The 7,955-nt window shown below is 40.5% G+C and overlaps 2 annotated features.

Moving 5' to 3' along the window:
- Positions 1–50: an enhancer, noted in NCBI's record as "active region_27693". NCBI's record gives its function as "activates an Ori minimal core promoter by ATAC-STARR-seq in GM12878 lymphoblastoid cells {active_cell/tissue: GM12878}" and the evidence as "EXISTENCE:reporter gene assay evidence [ECO:0000049][PMID:35858748]".
- Positions 471–590: an enhancer, noted in NCBI's record as "active region_27694". NCBI's record gives its function as "activates an Ori minimal core promoter by ATAC-STARR-seq in GM12878 lymphoblastoid cells {active_cell/tissue: GM12878}" and the evidence as "EXISTENCE:reporter gene assay evidence [ECO:0000049][PMID:35858748]".

Consider the following 7,955-nt stretch of genomic DNA (forward strand, 5'->3'; position numbering starts at 1 on the left):
ATCATTGAAAAATAAATAATAAATATACAAATCCGCAAATGAGATAGATTAGCACATATTTAGTGAGGCTGAATAGGGTGGGAGAAAAACTAGTGGACTGGAAACAGGAACCTAATGACTTAAAAAGTCAGTTTAGCCTCTCCTACCTCATTACAGAAACCGAAAGGTAACCTAAGGGTTTCTGTAAAGAAACACTAAGTTTCCATGTTCACAAAGAAGGAAACAACAGACTCCGGGATTTCCTTGAGGGTGGAAGGTGGGAGGAGGGAGAGGAGCAGAAAAAAAAACTATTGGGTACGAGACTTAGTACCTGGGTGACAAAATAATCTGTACAACAAACCTCCATGACATGAGTTTACCTATATAACAAGGCTGCACATGTACCCCATACCTAGAATGAAAGTTTAAAAAAAAAAAGAAACACTAAGTTTCCTTCCACTTTCTGTATCTGATGATTTCAATATTTCCCTCTAGGGCCTCCTCTCCCCTGCCCGCAATGCCATGCGAGCTGACCTTGGACCTGCGACCCTTGCCTTCATCTGTGCCGAGACCTACACAAACAGTGATGAAGCATCGCAGCCGGAGGTGGGAGAGCCTCCACCAGGACAGTGCTAGCATTGGAACTGGTGCTCCTTTAAGCGTTTACTGCAGTGGAAACTTGGTCTGTACCCAGAAAGGCCCAAGATGTTGCTTCTTGAGGGCATACAGCTTTTAATGACAATTGGACAAATGCTACATTATTTAGCATTGAGACAAATGGAAATAAATCAGCCTCTGTAAGGGGGTGAAAATGGCTGACATTTTTGCTTATAATCTTGAACTTATTTGGGTAAACTACCTACTAATGTTTTACAGTTTTAGCTTTATCTTACTAGAAGGTCTAAAGGGTTTTTGGTTATAAGTGGAAAAATGTAGAATGTCTAAAAAAAACAAAAAAGAAGGGGAAATAAGAATTTATTTTTCACTCTTAGATTGTGTGTGTGTGTGTCTGTGTGTTTTATTTTGTACTTTCTTCCACTTGAGTACTGCATTAGTGATCATTACGTGGGTCCAACATTAAAAAGCCCCAAAAACAAGAAGGTATTAAATACCTTCATAACGTTGTGTAGCCATCTCTACCATCCATCTCCATATCTCTTTTCTTCTTATAAAATTAAAGCTCTGTACCCATTAAACAATAACTCCCCATTCTTCCCTCCCCCCAGGCCCTGGCAACCACAATTCAACTTTCTGTCTCACTGACTTTGACTTTTTAGGCTGAAAGTCTAAAGAACTGGGCTTTAGATTTGCATTCGACATGGGCTCTTAAATTCGTCTGTTATGTAATTCATTTGCTCATATGTTAGAAAAATTTACCATTCAGAGGCCTTTGTGAATATGTAAGAATATAATTGAAACAGAGCAAGCAACAAAGGAAAGTATGCTTAATACCCATCTGGCTACTATTCTCATTATTCACATTATTTTTTAAAGACTCTTCAAACCTTCACAACAATCCTCAAGGGCTTCCCGTCGCCTACACAGCAAAGCCCAGACTCCTTGGCATGCTATTAAGGATCATCAAGAATGAGTCTCCAGGGCGAGTGTGGGGGCTCACACCTGTAATTCCAACACTTTGGGAGGCTGAGGTTGGAGGACTGCTTGAGGCCAGGAGTTCAAGACCAGCCTGGGCAACATAGTGAAATCCCAGCTCTACAAAATTTTTTTTAAAATTAGCCAGCTGTGGAGGCATGCACCTGTAGTCCCAGCTACTTGGGAGGCTGAGGTGTGAGGATCACTTAAGCCCCACAGGTCGAGGCTGCAGTGAGCCATGATCATGCCACTGCGCTCCAGTCTGGGCTACAGAACAAGAACTTGTCTCAAAAAAAATAAGGCTCTACTAGCCCCTATTGTGTCTCTGTGTAAATTTGAAAAGATGCCCCTTTCTCTGGGTGGTTGGAGCATGGCTGATGAGCTGAGGGAGGGTTGAGTTTCACTCCCCCACAGACTGTGTGGCAGGATTCCTTGGAGCCAGTTATAAACTGTAGTTGAGATGGTCCCAAGCCCACTTTCTGGTCTTACCTTCTGCTGTGTCCTTCTACCACTCTTCTCTGTACACGCTAGGGTTTGCCTACTTCTAGGGCTTTCCTTACACATGGAGCACCCTCCTCCATTCTCCATCAAATTCCTTCCATTCTTCAAGGCTCACTTAAACCTTCTCTCCAAAGCCTAATCATCCCTGCAGCCACATGTCCCCTATCATGATGTTCATCCCACTTTTAAATGGTCATATTCTGGTTTTTACTATAGGATGTTTGCACATCTTTCTTTCTCACCGATTATGAAGTCAGTGGTTTGAAGATTTACATTTAATTCACATCTCTAATTCTTACAAGGCCTAATAGAGAAGTGGCCCATAGCAGGTGCTTCATGTGTGTTAACTGAATAGAAATGAAGGGATAAGTGAGTATCTCATGGTAAAGCATGGAGAACCGCCTGAAACATTGAAGAAAATCTGAGACTTCTCTCCCCACTTCTAGGCAGGTGCTCTCAGCATCTTTTGCTGAGATTATAGATACATGATTCCAACAAGGTGCAGCTGTATCATGCCAGGTGTGACTACTAAAAAGACTGCCTTTTCTCCAACAATGATTGAAAAAGAGGACTTCCACATGTGGGCACTGGCAGTGTTGACGGAATAAGGGAGTAACAGTCACGCATTTGATCCTTGGGCCTAGGAGAAAGAAATGTCATGTTCTTTTAATTTTCAAAATCAAGTGAAATCTGATTCCTCTCCCATCTACTAGTGTTGGCAGGTGTGCTGAACTGACTGAAGCCACTTTGGGTATTCACAATGATTGGTTCTTACTGGTAGCTATTGTGGGGGAAAGGGATAAATTCTCCTTCGCCTCCTTGATCTTTGGCTGGGTCTAAGAATTAAATTGACCCAAGACAGATTAACAGGAGAAAAGCATATACATTTCGTTAATTTTTACATGTACATGAGGGCTCTCACAAGACAGTGAAGACCTGAAGAAATGGACAAAACAGAAAGATTTTATGCCTTTTAGATAAAAACAAAAACAAAATTGATACATTCATGAAGAAATGAGAAAGGGCAGTGAATCATGGGGAATTGTTAGCAGATATATTTTAGGGGGGAGTATAAAACATTGGAAGATAGCTATTTTAGTAAGTTTATTTCTACAGATCCATCTCAGTGTCAATTCCCAGTCTCTGGTGCTAAGGGTTATTTTTTTTGTCCTGGTACAGGGAAAGCATCTTTCACAAAGGAGTTTTTATGGCTAGCTACCTATAGGAAAGGGCAAGTCTGTAGCCTTTTCTGCAACTACTGTTTCTCAAGTGCTTTCAGCTCGAAGTAATCAATACGCCAAATGATACGGTTAGGCTTTGTGTTCCCACCCAAATCTCATCTTGAATTGTAATCCCCAGGTGTTGAGGGAGAGACCTGGTGGGAGAACCTCATTTTTCTCTCAGTTTATCAGATGACAAGTACATCACTGCCTGGGCCAGGCACATCTTTGTAGGACTGCTATTATTTGAACACATAAATTCATGGCTGAGTGCAGTGACTCACGCCTATAACCCCAGCACTTTGGGAGGCAGAGGCAAGAGGATCATTTGAGGCTGGGAGTTCAAGACCAGCCCAGGAAACATAGCGAGACCCTATCTCTACAAAATAAGTTAATTAATTAAAACACATAAGTGACAGTTTAATTAAAGAAAAAATTAATTATTACTTAGTAATAACACTGCAGTCTCGAGAAAAACATTACTCAGGCTGATCGCTGCCTTCACTGAGCCATCCGACTTGGCTCCAAATGACTTCTGATCATTCCAAGGAATCAAATTTACTTTCAAAAACAATGATTTGAAATAATTTGCCATTACTGAGGATCTTCAAAGTAATGCAATGCATTTTATAATGCAATCTTCAATTTAAGTATAAATGGCTAACATAAAATTACAATAACTTTAATTCAATGAGCTTGGTTGGATCAGGAAAGCATTTGTATTACTATGGCAAGAATAATACAATTATTTTTATTTTTCATCAGTTTCTTGTTTCCCAAACAAGTTTGTAAACACAGACATATTTTAGTATATAAGTTTGATCCTTATGAATGTAACTTTTATGCTTTTATTAATTTTGAAATATGTGTGTTCAATTCAGTTAAATAATTATTAAATTTAAAGAGAAGAAATGTGAAAAAATAACTTGAAAATATTTCAAGCAAATGTAACATTGTTAGAATAAATATATAATTTTGCAAGATGACCAGCTTGAAAGGGACAATAAATACTTGTTTTAATGTGTGAATTCCAAGTCACTTATAAATGTATCAGTTTATAAGCACAGCATCTAAATTCCATAAAAAATTCAGTTGAAAGAATGAATTAATGACTTCCTACAAAAATAGATTCAACAATGCCTCTGATTTTCACAATATAGTTTTCACAATGCTTTCATGTAGATTGTGTCATTTATTTGGCCACCTCTGGGGTAGGCTTTATTTTTCTCTAGTAGATGTGAGAGTCAGATTCAAAGAGACCCAAAGCCACTCTGATTTCAAGTGCCAGGGTTTGGGAGGTGCTAACCTTATTTCTTCACTAACCTAAAAATATTTTTTTAATATCGCCAAATTGATCTACAGGTTCAATGCAATCCCTATCTAAATCCTAGCTGCCTTTTTGCAGATATGAACAAGCTGGTCCTAAAATTCACACGATAATTCAAGGGACCCAGAATGGCCAATATGATCTTGGAAAAGAACAGGGTTGAAGGATTCCCACTTTCCTATTTCATAACTCACTACAAAACTGTAGTACTCATGACAGTGTGGTATTGGCCTAAGAACAGATGCACAGATCATTAGAATAGACCCGAGAGCCTAGAAATAAACTGTGACATTCACAGTCAATTGATTTTTGACAAGGGTGCCATGACAATTCACTGGGAGAAAAACGGTCTTTTCTACCAATAGCTCTGGGACAACTGGATAACCACATGCAAAAGAGTGAGGTTGGTTGGACTCCTACCTTATACCATATACAAAACTTAACTAAAAAAAATGAATCAGACCCCTAAATGTATAATCTAAAATTATAAAAGTCTTTGAAGAAAACATAGGCATAAATCCCCTTAACCTTGGATTGCCAATGGGTTCTTAGATCTGTCACCTAGAGCATAAGGAACAAAAGACAAAATAGAAGAAACTGTTTAGGAGCATTTCTTCAACAGTATTAATTTGCCTGTTCATTATTTCCACCTTAAATACCAGTTCAGGTGTGTTAAAGCAATGCTTTAGTTAGCATCTATAGGGCATAGGGACCTATGAGGTCAATATCACCCAGTGAGCCATGTTGCTTCTCTGGCCATGCCAAACCCAGGTGCCCTACAGAGACCAAGCCCTGGCAGGCCTGTTTCTGATGGTGGTGTCATAGTGTCCTGTCTGATGGGTCTTCTAGGTATCACCCTTCTGGGCTCCAGCAATAACCCTCCCACCGCATTGGGCGAAGCTTCTGAAGGACTTGGCCAACATTTGGTGGATGAAAAAATGATCAGTGTCAGCCAGGACTACATTTCTTATGAACTAAAACTTTACAGCATTGTGCTATTTCCACACTAGTTCTTGTTTGTTTGTTTGGTTTTTTCTAATTAGTGTTTTTCCGACGCCTGTTCTTCCTTCACTCTGTTGTGTGAGCAAGAAGCTGAGTCGGGCAACCTGAAGGAAGGCCTTCTTCCTGTCTCAAGTGCTGGCAGGGAGGAAAGACTTGTTCCCAGTTCCTGAGTGCTGTGGGGTCCCCAAAGGAGAGGCTGTGTGAAAAACACTGCCTGGTAATTGATCTCCCAGATGCTCCTCTGGCTCAGGAAAGAAGGCTGCTCAGGGCCTCATCACTCTGCTGAGAGGCAGCTGTACGTTTGCTGGTCCTTCCTGTCTGGTGAAGGGAGAAAGAAGGAAGGAAGGAAGGAGCAACTGTTCTCTTTCCCTCCAATAGCACCAAAGCCCATGACACGCAGGACTTTCACCTGAAGTCCAGAGTGACTCAACTTCAGGTGTCAAATGCATTGATCTAATGGTGTTTGTTAATTTCAAATGCTTTAGACAAATGATGATGGAGAGAGGAATAATTTTCTCATAATAAAATTGATTAGAAATGTAATAGTCTAAAACACAATGCAAGTGTTTATAAAATAGCAGCCATTGAGAGCTTGGGACACCAGTGGTGTTTGCTATCGTGCTGGAGCAGACACATCTGGATTTGATACCTTGCAGTTGGACCACTTATTTCCATACAACTGAGCAATTTTCTTAACCTTGCTGAGCCTCAATGTCTTTGTCGGTAAAATGGAAATAATATTGCCGCCTCCTAAGTTTGCTATTATATTATAAAGATTAACCAAAACTTTTTATGAAAGCACCTTACATGGGGTCTGGCACACATTAGGTACTCAATAAATAACAACTCACACATAGTGCCACCTATAGACTTAGCCCTTCACATATATCAATTTATTTAATTCTCATGAGAACTCAGTAAGGAAGGTAAGGTTATGATCCCCATTGTACGGATGAGGAAACTAAGCCACAAAAGGGTTAAAGAAGTATGCTCAAGGTCACGCTGCCTTCAGTGGAAGTCAGGATTTGAGTCCATGCCAACTGGCCCAAGACTTTGTGTTCCTAATCATTTGTACTTGTATTCCTCTAATACATATTTTCTTTCTAACGTTCATCTGTGCCCCAGTGACTACAAAATGCAAATAATGCAAATTTTCAGGCCCCTTCAAGAAATAAAAAGCAGATGCTTGCTCAGGGAGCATGACTTTTCTCTCACATGTTCTATAAACCCAACAACATGTCACAGCATATTGCAACAGCAGGGGCACCAGGACTAGTGGTTATTCTGGTCGGCGTGTATCTGGCAAAGTCAGATGGCCAAGATCAAGATGACATATACCTCTTGTTTTCCTGTTCCGGAGCTCCAGACTCTGCCTTTTTCCCTGCCCCTCCCTGCCTCCATCCCTGTTCCAGGCAGCTGTCTCACAAAACATATCCCTTAGTTGCAAAAGATATGGTAGCATGTGCATGGCTCCATTCAGACTCATCAGCAATAGAGACATTATTATGGACAAAGAATACCATGTTATTATTATTATTATTCTTATTGAGACAAGGTCTTGCTCTGGCACCCAAGCTGGAGTGCAGTGGTGCGATCTTGGCTCACTGCAACCTTGACTTCCCAGGCTCAAGCAATCCTCCTACCTCAGCCTCCTGAGTAGCTGGGACCAAAGGCATACGCTGCCGCGCCTGGCTAATTTTTGTAGTTTTTGTAGAGATGGGGTTTCACCATGTTGCCCAGGCTGGTCTTGAATTCCTGGGCTCAAGAGATCTGTCCACCTCGACCTCCCAAAGTGCTGAGATTACAGCCGTGAGCCACAGCACCCGGCCAAGAATACCATTATTATAGTAATAAATGGACCTCCCTTTCCTGACCTTCACCCCTGCTTAGGAAGAAGGGTTTCAGTAAGATCTGCTCCACCACATCATCTTCTGGTTCTCTGTAATTTTATTTTTCTGTGCGTGCCACTCTATCATAATTTTTGTTTTTGTAACTTGGCATTTGTGTCTGTGATTTATGAAGTGCAAAGGAAGATGCTGGTGCTTATTCCAAGGTTACTTAATAACCATTACAATCCAGTGGAGTTAAACCAGGAATGGGTTTAGGAACTCAAAAGATAGCACATTTGAGTATCCCTGCCTCTGTTTCCCAAATTATGTGTTATGAACAAACTTCCTCCTGCATAAAATGTCATTATAGCAAATTATCCTAATAAAGAAATCTGCTGGGCAGGTGAGGGTGGTTCTGAAGCAAGATATATCAAAATTCGGCAGGGCTGAATTGTTATCAGCAACAATAAACTCCTAAAATTTTATTGTGAAAATAATTCCACA

The sequence above is a fragment of the Homo sapiens genome, chromosome 8, assembly GCF_000001405.40.
Source record: "Homo sapiens chromosome 8, GRCh38.p14 Primary Assembly".
Lineage (NCBI taxonomy): Eukaryota > Metazoa > Chordata > Mammalia > Primates > Hominidae > Homo > Homo sapiens.